We start from the raw sequence: 23609 nt of genomic DNA, 5'->3' as shown, positions 1-23609 counted from the left end.
TGGTCAATAAAGCACCTTTTCGCCTTGCTTACCTTCCAGTTGTCTGCATACCTCATTCTTCCTGGATGCAGGACAAGAACTCGGGACCCGCCAAATGGTAGGGCTGAAAGAGCTGTAACACAAACAGGGCTGAAACACATCCCACCCCCTCCCACTGGCTTGCCACATTGCAAGTGATGAGAAGGAGAGAAGAGCTGCAGTCCTTCAGGGAGTCCAAACCTAAGGGCTCTCTGAGCCAGGGCTGTGACACCCTCTTTGGGGCTCTGTGGTTCCTGGTATCTCCAAGCTTCCTGGAGGCACCACATTCCCTGGAGCCCACAGTGGAAGCCACATGCACTATGCCTGGTCCAGCCACAGCCTCACATGGAGCCAGCACCTGGGCCAGCGCCTGGAGCTGCCCACCCACAGCAGCTGGTGTGCCTGGCTGTGTGCAGTGGCTGGACCCCATGCACCTCTCTCATGCACCTCTCATCACTCTGCACCTGGCTCACCCTTGGCAGGCATGGGATCCGGGCCAGTAGAACAAGCTGAGCACAGCCTGTGAGGTTGAGTGGGCAGAATGAGCCTAGTAGACCCAAGCACAACTCGGGCAAAGGTGCCACTGGCCACAGAGGCTTCCAGCTGGAAAAGTGACACCCTAAGGATCCTGTGACAATTTGGCTATACAAAGAATTCTACAGAAATGTTCATAGCAGCTTTATTTGTAATAACCCCAAACTGGACACACTCAAAATGTCCATCAAGAGGTGAATGGATAAACATATAAATGTATGGCTATCCAATGAAATAAAATTCAACAATAAAAATGGATAAATATTTATATACACTACATAATGCATGAATCTCAAAATAATTATGCTGAGTGAAAGAAAGCAGACCAACCAAAACAAGAATACATACTGCATGATCCCATTTATACAAAATTCTAGAAAATGTAAGCTAATCTACGGTGACAAAAGCAGATTCAACATTCACCTGAAAGCCAATGGACAGAGAAGAGGGATGAGGGAAAGGGATCACAAAGGGCATGAAGAAACTTTTAGGTGTGATAGATGTGTTCATTATCTTGATGTGGTGATGGCTTTATAGGTGCAAACCTATGTCAAAACTTATCAAATTGTGTCAGCTGTGCCTCAATAAAGCTGTCAAAAAAGAAGAACCCATAAAAGATTTCTTTCTTTCTTTTTTTTTTTTTTTGAGATGGAATTTCACTCTTTCACCCAGGCTGGAGTGCAGTGGTGTGATCTTGGCTCACTGCAAGCTCTGCCTCCCGGATTCACGCCATTCTCCTGCCTCAGCCTCCCGAGTAGCTGGGACTACAGGTGCCCGCAACCATGCCCAGCTAATTTTTTGTATTTTTAGTAGAGATGGGGTTTCACCATGTTAGCTAGGATAGTCTCGATCTCCTGACCTCGTGATCCACCCGCCTCGGCCTCCCAAAGTGCTGGGATTACAGGCGTGAGCCACCACACCCAGCCAAAGATTTATTTCTTGCTCATGACACATGTCCATCATGAATTGGCTAGGAGTATTGTCCTCGTCCTCAGTCTGGGACCTGGGCTGATGGAGAAGGTACTACCTAGAACAATCCTGGTTGCCATAGCAGTGGAAAAAAGAGCACTGTGGCAAAATACACACTGATTCTTAGAGCTTCCACTCAAAGAAACAAGGCTACACATAACTTTTGAGGTGCTTATAACTTTGGAAATATATATTACTAGTGAATTGTAACTCCTCATTATGTGGCCATTTGTATCCCTAATAATGCTTTTTTCTTTAAAGTCTATATTTTCTACACACTAAATTTCTTTTAATTGGTAATTCCTTGGGATAATTTTTTAAATTCTTGTACTTTCAACCTTTCTGTGTGCTTACATTTTAGGTTTATTTCTTATAAATAACATATAACAGGATTTGAGGGTTTCTTTTTTTCTTTCTTTCCTCCTTTTTTTCTTTAGCAACAGGGTCTCACTCTGTTGCCCAGGCTGAAGTGCAGTGGCATGATTATAGCATACTGCAGCCTCGAACTCCTGTAAAAAGATCCTCCTGCCTCATCTTCCTGAGTAGCTCGGATTACAGGGATGTTGCCCAGGTTGGCCTGGAACTCCTGGCCTCAATAAATCCTCCTGCCCCAGTCTCCCAAAGTGCTGGGATTACAGGAGTAAGCCACAGGGGTTTTCTTAACTAATCTGAAAAATTTTTGTGTTTTAACTGGTTAGTTCATTCCATTTCACATTTATTTAGACAAATATTTCTATTTGTCCTATTTTTCTTTGGGATTGATTTGTTTTCATTAATCCAGGTTTTCCCCTTTACTAATTGGAATTCAATTTATTGCTTTAGTGCCTTCCTTACCATTTTCACAGGAATGCTTAATCTCAAAAATTAATATTTTTCCCTTTACCTGAATAATTACAGAATTTTAAATGCCTTACTGCAAACATCTTCTTCTAATTATTTCAATATATAAACCAGATCAATACCATTCAACACAAGCCCACAAAAGCAAGCAAAGTGTTTTGGTTTTCTTTTTCTCCTAGATCACTTTTTCACTAAGGTGTAGGTAATTGAGGGTATCATCTTTGTCCAGAGATCTCAGTTACAAATCTTCACCCTGCATAAATCCAAGTCCCCATTTTCTTGTCATTGTCTTGTCATTAGACTCACAGCCCTGACTTACAAGACCAGTAAACATGCTCAGAACATCCAAAGTGTCAGCACCCACTTATCACTTGGTTTTCAGCTTTCTGTTTGTTTTTTACCTCTAGGAATTTTCCTTATTTTCTTGAAAGCTGGTAATGACAGACCCTGCTGCTCCACTCCTGCCAGTGCCCCATCCCAGCTAATGTGCGTGCACCCCACTGTGCCTCTGCAGCTGCTAGCATGTGCAAGTGAGCACAGATCCTGCTGCCACTGCCCCTGTGAAGTACTTTGGCTGGCACTCTCCACTGGAATGTTGTGTGGCCAGCAGTCTGGGAATACCTCAGCCTCTCCAGTGTAACAAGTTCCTAACCTTGGGGGACCAGACAACAAAGCTGGGGGCTCAGTACCACGCCCCCAGAGTTAGAGTACAAAGCCCAGGAGTGTTGAGCTCTGCCTTGGCCTCTTGAAATCTTCTAGAAACAAAGCCCGTCAACTGAACCCACATTATGCCATTATCAAACCCCCAAGGGCATCAAAGAATATAAAAGCAAAACACCCCATCAAAAGGACAGCACATTCAAATATTAAAGGAGCATCAGCCCACATAGATGAGAAAGAACCAGCACAAAAACCCTAGTAAGAGTGTCTTCTTACCTCCAAATGACCACACTAGTTCCTCAGCAATGGTTCTTAAGCAGGCTGAAATGGGTGAAATGACAAACATAGAATTTAGAATATAAATAGGAACAAAGATCATCGGGATTCAAGAGAAAGTTGAACCCAATCCAAAGAATCTAAGGAACACAATAAAATGATACAGGAGCTGAAAAATAAAGTGGGCATTTAAAGAAAAAAGCACACTTAATCTGATAGAGCTGAAAAACGCTACAAAAATTTCATAATACAATTGCAAGTATTAACAGCAAAATCGACCAAGCAGAGGAAAGAATCTCAGAGCCTGAAGATTGGTTCTCTGAATTAACTCAGGCAACAACAGAAAAAAAAAACACAGAATAAACAAAACTTCTGAGAAATACAGGATTATGTAGAGACCAAATCTATGACTCTTTGGTATCCCTGAAAGAGAGGGAGAGAAAGCAAAGAACTTGAAGACATATTTGAGGATATCATCCACAGAAATTTCCCCAACCTCACAAAAGAGGCCAACATTCAAATTCAGAAAATGCACAGAACCTGAGCAAGATACTATATAAGATGACCATCCCCAATACACATAGTTATCAGATTCTCCAAGGTCAGCATGAGAGAAAAAATATTAAAGGCAGCTAAAAAGAAGGGGCAGGTCACTTATAAAGGGAACCTCATCAGACTAACAGTGGACCATTCAGCAGAAATTCTATTAACCTAAAGAGACTAGGGGCCTACATTCAGCATTTTTAAAGAAAAGAGACTCCATTCAAGAATTTCATAACCAGCTAAATTAAGCTTCATAACTGAAAGAGAAATAAGATCCTTTTTAGGCAAGCAAATGCTAAGGGAATTCATTACCACCAGACCTGCCTTACAAGAGGTCTTTAAGAGAGTGCTAAATATGGAAAGGAAAGACCATTACCAGCCACCACAAAAACACACAGACTATTGACACTATAAAGTAATTACACAATCAAGTCTGCATAATGACCAGCTAACAGCATGATGACAAGATCAAATAAACACAAATCAATATTAACCTTGAATGTAAGTGGGCTAAATGCCCCCAGTTAAAAGGCACAGAGTGGTAATTTGGATAAAGAAGCAAGACCCAAATCTATGTTGTCTACAAGAGATCTATCTCACATGCAGTGACACCCATTGGCTCAAAGTAAAGGGATAGAGAAACATATACAACAAAGCAAAGGAAAAAAAACAAGCAGGGGTTGCTATTCTAATTTCAGACAAAACAGATTTTAAACTAACAATGATGGAAAAAGACAAAGGAGCATTACATATTGGTAAAGGGTTCAATTCAACAAGAAACACTTAGCTATCATAAATAAATATGCATCCATTACAGGAGCATGCAGATTCATAAAACAAGTTCTTAGAGACCTGCAGAGGGACTTAGGTAACCACACAATAAGAGTGGGAGACTTCAACACCCCATTAGCAGTATAAGACAGATCACTGAGGCAGAAAACTAACAAAGATATTCAGGACCTGAACTCAATACTTGACCAAATGGACCTAACAGAAATCTACAGAACTCTCTACCCCAAACAGCAGAATGTACATTTTTCTCATTTGCACATGGCACACGCCTTAAAATTGACCACAAAATTGGCCATAAAACAATTCTCAGCAAAATTAAGAAAGCAAAATCATACCAGCCACACTCTTGAACTACAGTGTAATACAAATAGGAATCAATACTAAGATCACTCAAAGTCATACAATTACATGGAAATTAAACAACCTGCTCCTGAATGACATCTGCATAAACAATGAAATAAAGCCAGAAATCAAGAAATTCTTTGAAACTAATGAGAACAAAGATATAAAAATACCAGAATTTCTGGGACACAGCTAAATCAGTGTTAAGAGGGAAGTTTATAGCATTAAGTGCCCATATCAAAAAGTTACAAAGATGTAAGTCAAGTTAACAACCTAACATTACACCTAGAGGAACTAGAAAAATAAGAGTAAACCAACCCTGAACCTAACAGAAGACAAGAAATAGCCAAAATTAGAGCTGAACAGAATGAAACACACACACATGCACACACACACACACACACACACACACACACACACACGATCAATAAAACCAGAAGTTGGTTCTTTGAAAAAATAAATAAGATTGATAGACTGCTAGATAGACAAAGAAAAAGAGAGAAGATCCAAATAAACACAATCAGAAATGACAAAGGAGACATTAACACTGACACCAGAGAAATACAAAAGGCTCTCAGAGACCATTACAAACACCTCTATGCAAACACAAACTAGAAAGCTTACAGGAAAGGGATAAATTCCTGGAAACATACAACCTCTCAAGATTGAAACAAGAGGAAACTGAAACCCTGAACAGACTAATAATGAGTTCCAAAATTAAGTAAGTAATAAAAAGCCACCCAAGTGTGGTGGCTCACGCCTGTAATCCCAGCACTTTGGGAAGCTGAGGCAGAAGAATAGCTTGAACATGGGAGGCAGAGGTTGCAGTGAGCTGAGATCGCGCCATTGCACTCCAGCCTGGGTAACAAGAGCAAGACTGCATCTCAAAAAAAAAAAAAAAAAAAAAAAAAAAAAAGTCTACCAACCAGAAAAAGCCCAGAACCAGATGGATTCACAGCCAAGTTCTACCAGATATATAAAGAAGAGCTAGTACCATTACTACTAAACCTATTTCAAAAAAATTGAAGAAGAGGGACTCCTTTCTAACTCAACCTATGAGGCCAGCATCATTCTGATACCAAAACCTGGCAGAGAAACAACAGAAAAAGAAAACTTCAGACCATATTTTTCATGAACATCAATGTGAAAATCCTCAGCAAAATACTAGCAAACAGAATCCAGCAGCATATCAAAAAGCTAGTCCACCATGATCAAGAAGGCCTTATCCCTGGGATGCAAGGTTGGCTCAACATATGCAAATCAATAAATGTGATTCATCATGAAAACAGAACTAAAAACAACCACATGTTAATTTCAATAAATACAGAAAGGGCTTTCAATAAAATTCAATATATCTTCATATTAAAAATTCTTAACAAACTAGGCATTGAAGGAACATACCTCAAAATAATAAGAGCCACCTATGACAAACCCAAAGCCAGCATAATTAAGGGGCCAAAGCTGGAAGCATTCCCCTTTAGAATCAGAACAAGACAAGTATGCCTGCTCTCACACTCCTATTCAACACGGTACTGGAAGTCCTAGCCAGAGCAATCAGGCAAGAGAAAGAAACAAAAGGCATACAAATAAGAAAAGAGGAAGTCAAACTATCTCTGTTTGCAGATGATATGATTCTATACCTAGAAAACCCTGTAGTCTCTGCCCAAAAGCTTCTAGACCTGATAAACAATTTCAGCAAAGTTTCAGGATATAAAATCAAAATACACAAATCAGTAGCATTTCTATACAATAATAACATTCAAGCTGAGTGCCAAATAAAAACACAATCTCATTCACAATAACTGCAAAAAATGAAAATAAAATAAAATACCTAGTAATACAGTTAACCAGGGAAGTAAAAGATCTCTACAATGAGAATTACAAGATACTGTTGAAAAAAATCAGACATGACAGAAACAAATGGAAAATCATTTCATGCTCATGGATAGGAAGAACCAACATTGTTAAAATGGCCATACTGCCCAAAGCAATTTACAGATTCAACACTGTTCCTATCAAACTACCAATGACATTCTTCATAGAATTAGAAAAAACTATTCTAAAATTCATGTGGAACTTAAAAAAACAGCCTGAATAGACAAAGGAATCCTAAGCAAAAAGAACAAAGCTGGAGGCATGACACATTACCCAACTTCAAACTATGTTACAAGGCTACAGTAATCAAAACAGTATGGTACTGGTACAAAAACAGACACATAACCCAATAGAACAGAATAGAGAGCCCAGAAATAAAGCTGTACACCTATAACCATCTGATCTTTGAGAAAATCAACAAAAACAAGCAAAGAGGAAAGGACTCCCTATTCAATAAGTAGTACTGGGATAACTGGCTAGCCATATGCAGAAGATTGAAACTGGAACCTTCCTTACACTATATACAAAAATCAACCCAAGATGGATTAGAGACTTAAATGTAAAACCTAAAACTATAAAAATCCTTGAAGAAAACCTAGGAAATACCATTCTGGACATAGGCCCTGGCAAAGATTTCATGAAAAGATGCCAAAAGCAATTGTGACAAAAACAAAAATTGACAAATGGGACTTAATTAAACTAAAGAGCTGCCACACACCAAAAGAAACTATCAATAGAATAAACAGACAACCCACAGGATGGAATAAAATATTTTCAAACTATGCATCTGACAAAGGTCTAATATCCAGAATCCATAAGGAACTTAAACAAATTAACAAGCAAAAAACAATCCCATTAAAAAGTGGGAAAAGGACATGAACAGACACTTCAAAAGAAGACATACACGTGGCCAACAAGCATATGAAAAAATGCTCAACATCACGAATTATTAGATAAATGCAAATCAAAACCACAATGAGATATCATCTCACACCAGTCAGCTTTATTAAAAAGCAATAATAATAATAATAACAGATGTTGGCAAGGCTGCAGACAAAAGGGAATGCTTACACACTGCTGGTGGGAGTGTAAATTAGGTCAGCCACTGTGGAAAGTGGTTTGGCTATTTCTCAAAGAACTTAAAACAGAAGTACCATTTGACCTGGCAATCCCATTAATGGATATATAATCAAAGGAATATATTGTTCTACCATAAAAGACACATGCATGCATATGTTCATCACAGCACTATTCATAATAACAAAGACCTGGAATCAACCTAAGTGCCCACCCATGGTAGACTGGATAAAGAAAATGTGGTATATATACACCATGGAATACTACTGAGGCATAAAAAAGAACGAGATCATGTCTTTTCCAGCAACATGGATAGAGGTGGAGGCCATTATCCTTAGCAAACTAAGCAGGAATAGAAAACCAAATACTGCATGTTCGCATGTTCTCACTAATAAGTGAGAGCTAAACATTGAGTACACATGGACACAAAGAAAGAAACAATAGACACCAGGGCCTGCTTGACAGTAGAGGGTGGGAGAAGGATGAGGATTGAAAAACCACCTACTGAGTACTATGCTTATTACCTGAATGATGAAATAATCCATACAGCAAACCCCTACAACACACAATTTACCTATATAACAAACCTGCACATGTACCTCATAACTACAAGGTTTTTTTTAAGTTCTTTATAAACTGGAAAGTTCTATGCCAATAATGAGCATTATAATTAGATTTAGCCACAAAATGTATGCACACTGTTTTCATTAAAATTTACTTGTATAATCAAAAAATAAATAAATACAAACTGAGTCTCTGTAAACTAAAGAAAAAAAGTTGCATGCATCTAAGTGGATATTTGCTGTGTTTTATGTAGCAATTGCACAACTGTAGGTGCTTTATAAACGGTTTTTTAGTCCACAGAATTACCAGAATTGGAAATTCATTTTTGTTTTTCTCCTTCTTCTTCCTCTACATAGAAATATGTTTTTCTATGTTTAATTTTTTATCTATAGCTGGTTTGATTTTTCTTTTTTCTCTTTTCTTTTTTCTGACCACAAAGATCCAGAAGATATCTACAACTGGTTTGAAAGTTATATTTTTATACTTCTGGAGGTTTCCCCTAACTTACCTACACTCACATTTATACTTTTTTTTTTCTTATGATTGCCTAAAACTCATGGCATCTAAATCTTTACCCCAAACAAATTAACAATCTTGGCATGCATTTACCTCTCTCTCTCTGTCTCTTGATTACCTCCCTGACACTTTGAAATCATTGGAAGCTTTAACTCTAGATTGTTAGGGAAATCTAATCTTTTTAAAATGGCATTTAATTATTTAGACAACAAAGACCATTTCTAATTTCCTTATACCATCCATCCCATCCCTCTATTCTTCAGTTTAATGGCTGCTATCTGGAGGACAACTGAAACAATAGTACTGAGTGAAAAAGCAATATCCCTGGTCTAATCCAAGACACAGACTTATTTCCCATTACATAACTGAGAAGTGTAAAGGGTGCTTTACAAAAGTTTTGAGCAGTCTTGTTTTGCTGTTTGAGACTCCTGAACCCCTATCATATCTTTCCTTCCAAATCTGTGCATTCTAGGACATAAACGGTCAAGCCAATTCTTGCCTTAGCTCATTTCTTTCTTTTTATTTTTTCGTGGTTAAAAAAAAATACATAAAATAAATTTACCCTCTCAATTTTTTTTTTTTTTTGAAACGGAATTTTGTTCTTTTCACCCAGGCTGGAGTGCAGTGGTGCAATCTCGGCTCATTGCAAACTCTGCCTCGCGGGTTCAAGCGATTCTCCTGCCTCAGCTTCCCAAGTAGCTGGGATTACAAGCACCCACCACCACGCCCAGCTAATTTTTGCATTTTTAGTAGAGACGGAGTTTCACCATATTGGCCAGGCTGGTCTCGAACTCCCTACCTCAGGTGATCCACCCACCTCAGCCTCCCAAAGTGCTGGGATTATAGGCATGAGCCACCGCACCCGGCCTACCCTCTCAGTTTTTAAGTGTACACTACAGTCTTGTTAACTATGTGCACATCGTTATATGACAGATCTTCAGAACATCTTCACCTCACATGTCTCAAACTCTGTACCCATGGAATAATAACTTCCTATTTCCCTCACTCTATAGACTTGCAACCACCATTCTACTTTCTGCTTCTATGAGTTTGATTGCATTAGATAACTCATTTGAGTAAAATCATGCAGTGTTGCAGTGTTTGCTTTTTGTGATTGGCTTATTTCCCTTAGCATAATGTCCCAAAGTTTCATCCATGTTGCAGCATATGACAGGATTTCATTCTTTTCAAAGGCTGCATAATCTTCCATTGTATGTGTATTAGGGTTCTCTAGAGGGACAGAACTAATAGGATAGATGTATATATAAAGGGGAGTTTATTAAGGAATATTAACTCACACAATCACAAGGTCCCACAATAGGCCATCTGCAAGCTGAGGAGCAAGGAAGCCAGTCTGAGTCCCAAAGCTGAAGAACTTGGAGTCCAATGTTCAAGGGCAGGAAGCATCCAGCATAGGAAAAAGATGTAGGTTGGGAGGCTAAGCCAGTCTACTCTGTTCATGTTCTTCTGCCTGCTTTTTATTCTGGCCACGCTGGCAGCTGATTAGATTGTGCCCACCCAGATTAAGGGTGGATCTGCCTTTCCCGGTCAACTGACTCAAATGTTAATCTCCTTTGGCAACACCCTCACAGACACACCCAGGAACAATATTTTGCATCCTTCAGTCCAATAAAGTTGACACTCAGTATTAACCATCACAAGTCCACCCCCTGTCAACTTGAACCCATACACATCTCCTGAGATCATACATAATCTTCAAATAAGACAATAAAAACATAATATTCAAATAAAGACATAATTACACCTAACATAATACAACTATCTTTTGGGCACCAATCCCCAACCCAAATGCTATTACGTAAAATTAACAACACTTAAATGCTGATATGAAGTCAATAAATCTTATATCACATGATAAAGGAAAAAAGGAAATAAAAATGAAGAAAATTTTCTTAGTACAAGTGTACACATGCACAAACATGTTTTTAACAAAAGAAGGAGAAATACTCATGACAACTACAGTCATTTCTGCATCTGGTCACGTGGTCATAGCTGGTATTGATGACTACTTTCTTCTACTACCTATTCCTTATTCCCTTTGCCTTCAGCAAGCACCTCAGCAGGTCATAATTTTTTGCCTGGTGGAGTAACCCAAACCTTCATTCCTGAAGGGTCTGGGCCATTTGTAGTCCTGCTTGGATTGGGCTGTTGTAGTTTCCCACTGACCTTAGTCACAGGGCATGGTAATACTAAGAGATGCCCTAATGGATCTCCTGTATTTCATGCATACTCTTTCTTACTTCCGTGGTGGAGCAGCAGACTGATTTCATCTTGATAGTCTGGGTCAATCACCCCAGCCAACACTGTAACTCTCTTCTTAGCCTGTTGGCTTAAATGTAGGAGGAACCCAAAGTGTCCAGGTGGCAATCTTAATTTCCAGTTTAATGGAACTGTTGTTGTGTCTCCTGGTGGCAGCCTTCCTCCCTCTGGAACTAAGACCTCTAGGTCAGCAGAACATAATGTCACAGGAACACAAAGAAAAATTTTGCTAGTGGGTCACTAGGGGTAATGATGAGTGGTGCCACTTCCACTTCCACCCCTTGATTCCTGGACTCATGATCTTGGCTATAAGAGAAACAGTACCATATACTGGACATTGATTCAGAGCATACACAGCCTTCTGGAGAACTTCACCCCAGCCTTGCAAAGTACAGTCACCTAGTTGGTGTTGTAATTGTGACTTCAAAAGGCCATTCCACCATTCTGTCAATCCAGCTGATTCAGTATGATGGAGAACATGGTAAAACCAGTGAATTCCATGAGCATGAGCCCACTGCCGCACGTCTTTAGCCGTAAAGTGAGTGCTTTGGTCAGAGGCAATCCTCTGTGGAATACCATGATGGTGAATAAGGCATTCCATGAATCCATGGATGGTAGTCTTGGCAGAAGCATTGCATGCAAGATAGGCAAACCCATATCTGAAATAAGTGTCTATTCCAGTGAGGACAAACCTCTGCCCTTTCCGTGATGGAAGAGGTCCAATATAATCAACCTGCCACCAGGTAGCTGGCTGATCACCCCGAGGAATGGTGCCATATCAAGGGCTCAGTGTTGGTCTCTGCTGCTGGCAATTGGGCACTCAGCAGTGGCTGTAGCCAGGTCAGCCTTGGTGAGTGGAAGTCCATGTTGCTGAGCCCATGTGTAGCCTCCATCCCTACCACCATGGCCACTTTGTTCATGGGCCCATTGGACAATGACAGGGGTGGCTGGGGAAAGAGGCTGAGTGTGTCCACAGAACGGGTCATCCTATCCACTTATTAAAATCCTCCTCTGCTGAGGTCACCCATTGATGAGCACTTACATGGGATACAAATATCTGCACAGTTTTTGACCACTCAGAGAGGTCATCCACATACCTCTTCCCCAAATTTCTTTGTCACCAATTTTCTAATCATGCTTCTTCCAAGTCCCTGACCATCCAACCAAACTATTGGCTACAGTCCATGAATCAGTACATAATTGCATATCTGGCCATTTTTCCTTCTATGCAAAGTGCACAACCAGGTGCACTGCTCAAAGTTATGCCCACTGGGAAGATTTTCCTTCACCGCTGTCCTTCAGGAATGTCCTAGAAAGGAGCTGTACTGCTGCAGCTATCCACTTTCAGGTGGTGACTGCATATCATGCAGAACCACCTGTGAACCAAGCCCCAGTTTTCCCTTCCTCTGTCAACTGATCATAGGGAACTCCCCATGAGGCCATCAGTGCAGGCTGGGGGAGAGAAGGCAGGGTGGCAGAAGTGGAGACCATGGGCATTTGAGACACTTCTTCATGTAACTGACTTGTACCTTCAGGACCTGCTCGACCCTAATCACATATATACTACTTCCATTTGATGATGGAATGCTGCTGTGTATGCCCCACTTTATGGCTAGACAGGTCAGAAAGCACCCAGTTCATGATAGGTAGTTCAGGTTGCATGGTGACTTGATGACCCATAGTCAAATGTTCAGTTTCCACCAAAGCCCAGTAACAGGCCAAGAGCTGTCTCTCCAAAGAAGAGACATTATCTGCAGAAGATGGCAGGGCCTTGCTCCAAAATCCTAGAGGTCTCCACTGTGATTCACCTATGGGGTCCTGTCAAAGGCTCCAAATAGCATCTCTATTGCCACTGACATCTCAAGCACCATTGGATCTACTGGGTCTTATGGTCCAAGTGGCAGAGCAGTTTGCACAGCAGCCTGGACCTGTTGCAGAGCCTTCTCTGTTCTGGACCCCAATAAAAACTGGCAGCCTTTCAGGTCATTCAATAAATGGGCCAGAGTAACACACCCACGCAGAGAATGTGTTGCCTCCATAATCCAAATAGGCCCAGTAGGTGTTGTGCCTCTTTCTTGGTTGTAGGAGGGACCAAATGCAGCAACCTATCCTTCACCTTAGAAGGAATATTTTGACAGGCCCCACACCACTGAACCCCTAGAAATCTTACTGAGATAGAAGGTCCCTGAATTTTAGTCAGATTTATTTTCCATCCTCTGGTACACAAATGTCTCACCAATAAGTCCAGCGTGTTTGCTACTTCTCACTCACTGGATCCAATCAGCATAATGATATCAATGTAATGGACCAGCGTGATGTCTTGTGGAAAAGAAAATTGATCAACGTCTCTCCAAACAAGATTATGACACAAAGCCGGAGAGTTGATAAACCCCTGAGGTAGGACAGTAAAGGTATATTGCTGGCCCTGCCAATTGAAGGCAAATTGCTTCTCGTGGGCCTCATGGACAGGAATGGGGAAAAAGCATTTGCCAAATCAATGGCTGCATATCAGGTACCAGGAGATGTGTTAATTTGCTCAAGCAATGAAACCACATCTGGTACAGCAGGTGCAATTGGAGTCATGACTTGGTTAAGCTTATGATAATCCACTGTCATTCTCCAAGATCCATCTGTCCTCTGCACAAGTCAAATAAGAGAGTTAAATGGGGATGTGGTGGGAATCACCACTCCTGCATCTTTCAAGTCCTTGATGGTGAAACTAATCTCCACAATCCCTCCGTGGATGCCATATTGTTTTTGATTTTTCTAGGTAGAGGCAGCTCTAACGGCTTCCATTTGGCCTTTCCCACCGTAATAGCCCTTACCCTACCAGTCAGGGAGCCAATGTGGGGGTTCTGCCAGCTGGTAAGTATGTCTATGCCAATTATGCATTCTGGCACTGGAGAAATGACCACAGGCTACATCTTTCTCCTGTGTTGGATGCTTCCTGCCTTTAAACATTGCACTCCAGGTTCTTCAGTTTTGGGAATTTGACTGGCTCTCCTTTCTCCTCAGCTTGCAGACAGCCTATTGTGGGACCTTGTGATTATGTATGTAAAAAGTATAAAAGTGAGTGTAGGTAAGTTAGGGAAACCTCCAGAAGTATAAAATATAACTTTCAAACCAACTGTAGATATCTTCTGGATCTTTGTGGTCATAAAAAACAAAAGAGAAAAAAAAGAGAGAAAAATCTAACCAGCTATAGATAAAAGTTAATAGATAAAGTTAAACATAGAAAAACATATTTCTATGTAAAGGAAGAAGGAGGAAAAAAATAGAAAAATGAATTTCCGATTCTGATATTACCTTGTTGATTTTCTGTCCAGATGATCTGTCCAATGTTGAAAGTGGGGTGTGGGAGTCCCCATCTATTATTGTATTGTGGTCTCTCTTCAGCTCTAATACACTTTACATATCTGGGTGTTCTGGTGTTGTATGCATATATATTCACAATCCTCCTTCTGAATTGATCCCTTTATCATTATATAATGACCTCTGTCTCTGTTTTTTCACTTAAAGTGTATATTGTCTGATAAAAGTATAGCTATCCTTGCGTGCTTTTGGTTTCCATTTGTGTAGAATATCTTTTCCCATCCCTTCACTTTCAGTCTATTATATGTTTAAAGGTGAAGTGACTTTCTTGTAAGCAGCATATAGTTTGGTTTTTTTTAAATCCATCCAGCTGTTCTATATCTTTTAATTGAGGAATTTGAAACGTTTATATTCAGGGTTACTATTGATAGGTGAGGATTTACTCTTGTCATTTTGTAATTGTTTTCTGATTGTTTTATATATCATTTACTCCTTTCTTATTGTTTATCCTTGCAATTTGGTGGTTTTTCTCTAGTGATAATATTTGATTCTTTTTTTTATTTGTATATCAACTCTACCAGTGAGTTTTATACCTTTCTGTGTTTTCATAAGTGTTGATATAATCTTTTTGCTTGCAGATGTAGGAGTCCCTTAAGCATTTCTTTTAGGACCAGTCTAGTGGTGATGAAGTCCCTCAATTTTTGCTTATCTGAGAAAAACTTTATTTCTCCTTCATTTCTGAAGGATACCTTTGGTGGGTATTCTTGGCTAGTAGTTTTGTTTTGTTTTTTTTTCCTTTAGCACTTTGAATATATGAGTCCTTTCTCTCCTGGCTTGTAAGGTTTATGCTGTTGTTAGTGTGATGGGAATTCCCTTATATATATGACTTGATGCTTTTCTCTTGTTTTTAGAATTCTCTTTGTCTTTGACTTTTGACAGTTTTATAATGTGTCCCAGAAAGGACCTTTTGGGGTTGAATCAATCTGGAGACTTCTGAGCTTTCCATATCTGGATGTCTATATTTCTCTCTCAAGACTTGAGACATTTCCAGTGATTATTTCATTAAGTAGGTTTTCTATGCCTTTGCCATCTCTTCTTCTGAAATACCAAAAATACAAATGTTTATTTTCTTGATGGTGTCCTATATGTCATATAGGCTTTTTTCTTTCTTTCTTTCTTTTTTTTTTTTCTGAGATTGAGTCTCACTCTGTCACCCAGGCTGGAGTACACTGACATGATCTTAGCTCACTGCTACCTCTGCCTCCTGGGTTCAAGCAATTCTTGTGCCTCAGCCTCCCAAGTAGCTGGGATTACAGGCATGCACCACCATGCCGAGCTAATTTTTTTGTATTTTTAGTAGAGATGAGGTTTCGCCATGTTGGCCAGGCAGGTCTTGAACTTTTGGCCTCAAGTGATCCACCCGCCTTGGCCTCCCAAAATACCGGGATTACAGGCATGAGCCACTGTGCCCGGCTTCCTGAATTTCCTTATCATCATTATTTTGAATCCCTTTTTTTTTTTTTTTTTTTTTTTTTTTTTTGAGACGGAGTCTCGCTGTTGCCCAGGCTGGAGTGCAGTGGCGCGATCTCGGCTCACTGAAGGCTCCGCCCCCCGGGGTTCACACCATTCTCCTGCCCCAGCCTCCCTAGTAGCTGGGACTACAGGCGCCGGCCACCTCGCCCGGCTAATTTTTTGTATTTTTAGTAGAGACGGGGTTTCACTGTGTTAGCCAGGATGGTCTCGATCTCCTGACCTCATGATCCGCCCACCTCGGCCTCCCAAAGTGCTGGGATTACAGGCATGAGCCACCGCGCCCGGCTTGAATCCCTTTTAAGGCATTTCGTAGACTTCCTTTTCTTTGGGTCTATTACTGAATAATTATTGTGTTCCTTTGGAGGTGTCATGTTTCCTTGCCTTTTTTGTTTGTTTCTTGTGTCTCTATGTTGATATCTATGCATCTAGTATAATAGTCACTTCTTCCAATTTTATGAAGTAGCTTTCACAGGGGAAGACTTTTTCCTGTAGATGTATCTATAGTATCAATTGGGTAGGGTTGTTTAGCTTTGGTTCTGAGTGAGCATTATAGTGTAGTGTCTGTATGATTCCTACAGCTGTAATCAGTGTCACCAGTATCTCCAAGTTCCTCATTGGCTTAGGCTGCAGTTGTTTGTGAAGGCTGTGGTGAAGCTTTGCTGTAGATATAGATTCTGTGTGGGCCAGTCCTCAGATCCCCAGGCAGTGCATGCAAGTATCAGTAGTGGCAGCAGTGACCCTAAATGGATTGTCCTCTGGTCCCTGGACAGCATGCACAGGTGCTGGTGGTGGAAATGGTTGCCCTTGGTGGGCCGGTCGTTGGCCCCAAGATGGCATGCACACAGGCACCCATGGTGGCAGTGGTAGCAGCAGCCCCAAGAAGTTCAGTCCTTGGGCCCCCAGGCAGTGTGTGACCCCTCTGCTAAAGGGGGCAGAGTTGCTATCAGTGATGGTGGCCCTAGGCAGGCAGCTCTCAGACTCTGAGGGGTGTGAACTTTGGCTCCCTATGTCCTGGGGGCAATCTCCCTGATGTGCTGGGCTGTCTGTTCCCTGGGGTGTAGGGTACTGAGTGGTCTCAGGTGCCAGGAACATGGCCACATCACTGGTTCCAGCTAGTGTCAGGACACTGCAGTCCTCTGACATTTTTAACTCTGAGACTTATTCCAGAGGAAAGTCTTAGCTGGCTGGAATTCAAGAAGGAGCTAAAATGAAATAGGCTTAGTTTAACAGAAAACCAGGAAGGACAGACTAGTTCCTTTCACTGCTAAGAAAGAGAAAGACCCTTCTCAGAAAAGGCATGGAGTACAAGTCCTAAATGAAACAAGGAGCTCTACAGAATTTCAAGTACCAGTCCCTTGTGAGCTCTCCAAATGTTCCAGAAGTTGATCAGCTACAGTTTAGGTTTTCCTACCCTGGCACTGGTTTCCACACAGGTTTCTGTTCTGGTATGTTGTGATTCTCTGTATCTACCTGTCTCTCCAATTTGGGGGGCAATGATTTGCCCTGTGACCTCACTTGTTTTATGGATCTAAGAAGAGTTGTTGATCTTTCAGTTCGTTCAGCTTTTACTTATTGCTAAAACAGAGGGGTGACTTCTAAGCTCCTTACACGTGGAACTAGTAACCAGAATTACTTTTATTCATTCAGCTACACTATGTCTTTTGATTGTAGAGATTAATCCACTTACATTTAAAATAATTACTGATAGGAAAGAACTTATTATTGCCACTTTATTATTACTTCTGTCTGTCTCGTAGTTATTTTGTCTCTCTTTTCTTCTCTTGGTGCCCTTCCTTTGTGTTTCACTGATTTTTGTGTGTGTTGACTTGCTTTGATTCTTTTCTCATTTTTTTCTGTGCATCTTCTATGGATATTTTCTTCATGGCTACCATGAGATTTACATACACATCTTATAATTATAACAATCTATTTTAAGCTAATAACAATTTCAATTACATACAAAAACTCTACTCCTTTACGTCTCCTCCACTTTATCAATGTCACAAATTTCATCTTTTTATATTTTGTATGCATCAATGCAGTTTGAGTTTTTATGTTTTTCTCTCTTAAATTATATACCAGTTATTAAGGGATTTACATACCAACATTACAGTGTTATAGTCTTTTGTATTTATCTATAGATATACCTTTACTAGTGAGTCATATATTTTTGTATGTGTTTGTGTTGCTGTCTAGCATCCTTTAGGTTAAACCTGAGGACTCACCCTAACATTTCGTGTAAGGCAGGTGTTGTGGGGATGAATTCCCTAAGCTTTTGCTTATCTTAGTAAGTTTTTCTTTCTTTTTTTTTTAGCATCGTCTTGCCATCACCCAGGTTGGAAGGCTAGCATGATCATAGCTCACTCTAACCTCAAATTCCTGGGCTTGAGTGATCTTCCCACCTCAACCTCTTGAATAGCTAGGAGTACAGGCTCATGCCATCACACCAGCTTTGTGTGTGTGTGTGTGTGTGCGCGCATGTGTGTGTGTAGAGACAGGGTCTCACTATGTTGTCCAGGCTGTTCTCAAACTCCTGACCTCAAGCAATCCTCCTGCCTTAGCCTCCCAAAGTGCTAGGATTATAGGCATCAGTAACCATACCCAGCCTCTCTTTCATTGTTGAAGGACAGTTTTGCTGGATGTAGTGTTCTTGTTTGGCAGGGTGTGTGTGTGTGTGTGTGTTTTCTTTCAGCACTTTAATTATATCATCACACTCCCTCTTGCCTATAAGGTTTCTGCTGAGAAACTCCCTGATAATTTTATAAAGTTTCCTTGTATGTGATGACTTGCTTTTATCTTGCTAGCTTCAAGATTTTGTCTTTGACTGCTGACAGTTTGATTGTAATGAGTGCTCCTTATTGTGGGCCTCTTTGGTTCATCTTAATTGGAGTTCTTTGAGCTTCTTGGGATTGGATATCCATTTCATTTCTCAGATTTTGGAAGTTTGGGCCATTATTTCTTCAATTACATTCTCAATCCCTTTCTCTCCCTCTTCTTCTGGAACTCCCATAATGTGTATATTGATCCACTAGATGGTGTGGCATAAATCCCTTGGGATTTTTTAACTTTTCTTCATTCTTTTTTTTCTTTTTGTTCCTCTGACTCACTAAGTTCAATCTGTCTTCAAAGTTACCTGATTCTTCATTCTGCTTAAGTCTGCTGTTGAACCCCTGTAGTGAATTTTTCAATTCAGTTATTGTATTCTTCAGTTTCAGAATTTGTTTGGTTATTTGTTTCTGTCTCTACTGACATTCTCATTTCATTCACACATTGTTTTTCTGATTTTTCACAGACTGGCTTCATACAGAGAAAGACCTTCAGTAAGGTCTTGGCTTCAATAAGCAGCCAAGATAGATTCTGGGAACCTCCGAATCCTTTCAGAGGGGATGTTACTTCTCTGGGCTCATGCTTCTAATTTCCCAATTACAGACCTTTGCCAGTTTGTTGTTACTTTCAGAAGTGCATAATTTTCTGTTCTTTCTAGTGTCTGTCTGAGGTACTGCAGGTTCTCTGGTAGTACTGCAGCAAGTCTCCCTGCTCTCCTTTGTGCTCAGTGGCCCCCAGGCATTCAAATTATGTTGGCTCCCCATTAGCACCCCAAATTAGGTGACAAATACCAGTCCCTTAGGCAGTTCTCCCAAAAGGCAGAATACTAACACATGTTCTGCTCTTCTCCTTCCTTCCCAAGAGAGAAGCCACAAATTGGGAGCCTTCTCTCAATTGTGCTGAGTGTGCTGACCTCTGTCTCTGGCACTACAGGCCCTCCAGTGTTGCAGCAAGATGTACTTCCCAACCCCGTTCTCCCTTGCTTTCAGTGGCCCCCGGGCATCCAGAGTATTCCAGTTCCATTAGTACATCAAGTTAGGCAAGAGAATAAACCAGTCCGTGGGCAGCCTTCTAAAAGGCCAGAACATTAAATGTATGTTCTGCTCTTCTCTTTCCCCCAAGGAAGAACCTGTGACCCAAGCTGAGCTGTGCTGGTTTGAGGAAGAGACAATCACAGATAAAGTGAAACAGCTCCTTACCTGTTTCAGTGTGGTTCTTTTTGGCTTTGTGCTTGCCTGGGGTAGTAAAACCTAATTGGTTTTTAGAATTCTACCAAAATAAAGGTATTTTGGTCTGTATATTGTTAAGTCAGTGTCTCTGTGAGGGAAATGGAGGCTGACACCTACCTCCTATTGTACCATCTTGCTGACATCACCATGTCATCTCTTTCTTATGTGATATTTCATTTAATCCAAAACATTAATTGTAAGACACACTGCAATATTGGAGTAATTATTGCAATGTGGAAAAAAAAAGATCAATGGTGATAGTAAGACACCATGTATATAGTAAGATGCAGGCTGGGCACAGTGGCTTGTGCCTGTAATCCCAGCACTTTGGAAGGCTGAGGCAGGAGGATCTCTTGAGCCCAGGAGTTCAACACCAGCCTGGGCACCATAGTGAGTGTTACATGCATCCATGTGAAGAGACCACCAAACAGGCTTTGTGTGAGCAACGAGGCTGTTTATTCACTTGGATGCAAGTGGACTGTGTCCGAAAAGAGAGTCAGCAAAGGGAGATGGGGTGGGGCAGTTTTATAGGATTTGGGTAGGTAGTGGAAAATTACAGTTAAAGGTGGTTATCTCTTGCAGGCAGGAGCGGGGGTCACAAGGTGCTTGGTGGGGAGCTCCTGAGACTCATCGTCCAGGGGAGGACTGTCACAAGGTTGATTCATTAGTTAGGGTGGGGCAGGAACAAATCACAATAGTGGAATGTTATCAGTTAAGGCAGGAACTGGTTGTTTCACTTCTTTTGTGATTTTTCAGTTGCTCCAGGCCATCTGGATGTATACGTGCAGGTCACAGGGGTTATGATGGCTTAGCTTGGGCTCAGAGGCCTGACATTCCTGTCTTCCTCCACTGTTTAAGAGTTACCCAAAGCTTGGTGTCCGTGATGGTCCAAGGGGCTTCCGAGATGATCAGGCAGTGTCAGTCTTCAGCTGTTAAGCCCAGGAGATCTGAGAAGGAGTCAGCCAGAGAGCCCTGGGTTTTTGCTCCAGCAGGTCTAGGAGCAGCTTTAATCTGAGTTGGACAGTCAGACTTCCAGTGGGGTCCTGCACAAACAGGACAAGCCTTAGGAGGAATCCTGGGCTGCAGGCCTTCCGAGGCCCAGTGGCCGGGCTTTTGGCGTTTGAAGCAAGGTCCATAAGGAGGTTTTGAAGGAGTGCCTGGAGGCTGCAGTTTTGTTGTTTTGAGGTTTTTGTGTGCTGTAGGCATGGCTGGGGTTTGTCTTACAGCAAAGGCAAGCAGTTGCAGCTCTGAAATACGTTGTCACTTGGCTGTCTCTTCTCTATTGTTAAACACCTTGAAGGCGAGGTTAATTAAGTCTTGTTGTGGGGTTTGAGGGCTGGAATCTAGTTTTTGGAATTTTTTCCTAATGTCGGGAGCAGACTGGATAATAAAATGCATATTAAGAATAAGACAGCCTTCTGGCCCTTCTGGGTCCAGGGCTGTAAAGCGTCTGAGGGTAGCCACCAAGCGGGCCATGAACTGAGCTGGGTTTTCGTCCTTACCTTGGGTGGCTTCTTTAGGTTTGTCATAATTAACAACTTTGTATGCTGCCTTTTTAAGCCCCTCAACTAGGCAAGAGACCATGTAATCTTGCCTAGCTGTATCTTGGGAGCCTGTTTGGTATCCCCATTGGGGATCCTCCTGGGGAACTGCCCTGGTGTCTTCTTGGAGGCCTGGCTCAGGACGCTGGCAGTCATCAGCATGAGATTGGGCTAGGGTATAAACTCTCGCTCATCTGGGGAGAGGGTAGAAGTCAGGATGACATTTAAGTCACTCCAGGTTAAATTGTAGGACTGAGTTAAATATTGGAATTCCTGTATATATTTAGTGGGGTCTGATGAGAAAGAGCCTAAATGCTGACTGATCTGGGAGAGGTCCAATAGGGAAAAAAGCACATGTACCCTGACTATGCCTTCAGCTCCAGCCACCTCTCTAAGAGGAAATTGTTGGGCAGGTGGAGGAGAGCTAGTCACGGAACGAAACTGTAAGCCAGACCAGGTGTGAGGAGGGGTGTAATAGAAGGGTTATAGGGTTGGGGAGCAGAGACTGCGGAAAAATTGGGACCCAATTCAGCCTGGCAAGGAGCAGCCAGGGGAAGAGGAGAGAGGTCAGAGGGGTCAGTGGAAAAGGAGGATTTGGAGGACTCTGAACTTGGGATGGAGACTGAAGGAGCAAACGGGAGAGAAAGAAGGAAAATCTGGGACAAGCTGCATTGGGAGCAGAGACTAGGGAGAGAGCGAAGTGTAAAAAAGGCCTGGACGTAAGGCACCTCAGACCATTTGCCCAATTTTTGACAAAAATTATCTAGGTCTTGTAGGATAGACAAATCAAAAGTGCCATTCTCTGGCCACTTGGAACTATTGTCAAGTTTGTACTGGGGTCAAGCAGTATTACAGAAGAAAATAAGATGTTTAGGTTTTAGATCAGGTGTTAGTTGAAGGGGTTTTAGGTTTTTAGGAACACAGGCTAAGGGGGAAGAGGGAGGAATGGATGGTGGAAAGTTGCCCATAATGGAGAAGGTAAGTTTAAAGAGGAAGGTAGAGACATGGAGAAATGGAGGTGGGCACCTACCAGGCTTCCAGTAGGCATCCTTGACTGAGTCCTGGGCTGTAATGTGAGTGAACAGGCAAAGCAGGCATCCCTGCAATTGACCTGCCACCAAGGGAGTGTGGGTGAATGATCAAGGCAGGCATCCCCGTGGAGATCAGACACCAGTGGAATGTGGGTGAATGATCAAGGCAGGCGTCCCCATGGAGATCAGACACCAATGGAATGTGGGTGAATGATCAAGGCAGGCGTCCCTGCTATGATCAGACACCAAGGGAAGACTGTCTTCCCAAATCCATGACCGATGTCAGAGTTTTTGAGTTCACGGATAAAATGTGTTCCTTTGTCTCTACTAGAAAGGAAAGAGAACTGAAATTGGAAAGATAGGGAGATTGAAGGGTAGCAAGAGAGGCTGGAGAAGAGAGCAAAGAGACCGCTTACCTGAGTTGAAATTGGTGAGATGTTCCTTGGGCTGGTCTGAGGACCCGAGGTCATAGGTGGATCTCTTCATGAAGTGAGGGTGAGGACAGGGGGCCAATCTCTCAAAGGAGTCCCCCTGTCCCGGGTTCTTTGGCATCAAACGTTACGCACATCCATGTGAAGAGACCACCTAACCAGGCTTTGTGTGAGCAACAAGGCTGTTTATTTTCACTTGGGTGCAAGTGGGCTGAGTCCAAAAACAGAGTCAGCAAAGGGAGATAGGGGTGGGGCAGTTTTATAGGATTTGGGTAGGTAGTGGAAAATTAGTTAAAGGTGGTTATCTCTTGCGGGCAGGGGTGGGGGTCACATGGTGCTCGGTGGGGAGCTCCTGAGACTCTTTGTCCAGGGGAGGACTGTCACAAGGTTGATTCATTAGTTAGGGTGGGGCAGGAACAA

The 23609-nt window shown here is 41.7% G+C and overlaps 1 long non-coding RNA gene across 1 annotated transcript in view; it reads right to left on the bottom strand.

Annotated features, from left to right (window-relative positions):
• The window catches only part of LOC339539 (uncharacterized), a 31171-nt gene extending 8327 nt beyond the window's left edge, over positions 1-22844 (bottom strand). The window contains exons 1-3 of the long non-coding RNA NR_104171.1: positions 22758-22844; positions 10305-10381; positions 33-112 (exon numbers count right to left, since the gene is read on the bottom strand). This is a non-coding gene — a long non-coding RNA (uncharacterized LOC339539). The remainder of the gene's footprint in view (positions 1-32; positions 113-10304; positions 10382-22757) is intronic.
• Between the last annotated feature and the right edge of the window lie 765 nt (positions 22845-23609).

The sequence above is a fragment of the Homo sapiens genome, chromosome 1 (genome assembly GCF_000001405.40).
Source record: "Homo sapiens chromosome 1, GRCh38.p14 Primary Assembly".
In the NCBI taxonomy this organism is placed as follows: Eukaryota; Metazoa; Chordata; class Mammalia; order Primates; family Hominidae; genus Homo; species Homo sapiens.
Note: the sequence above shows the minus strand (reverse complement) of the source record. Positions and strands in the feature narration are given on the sequence as shown.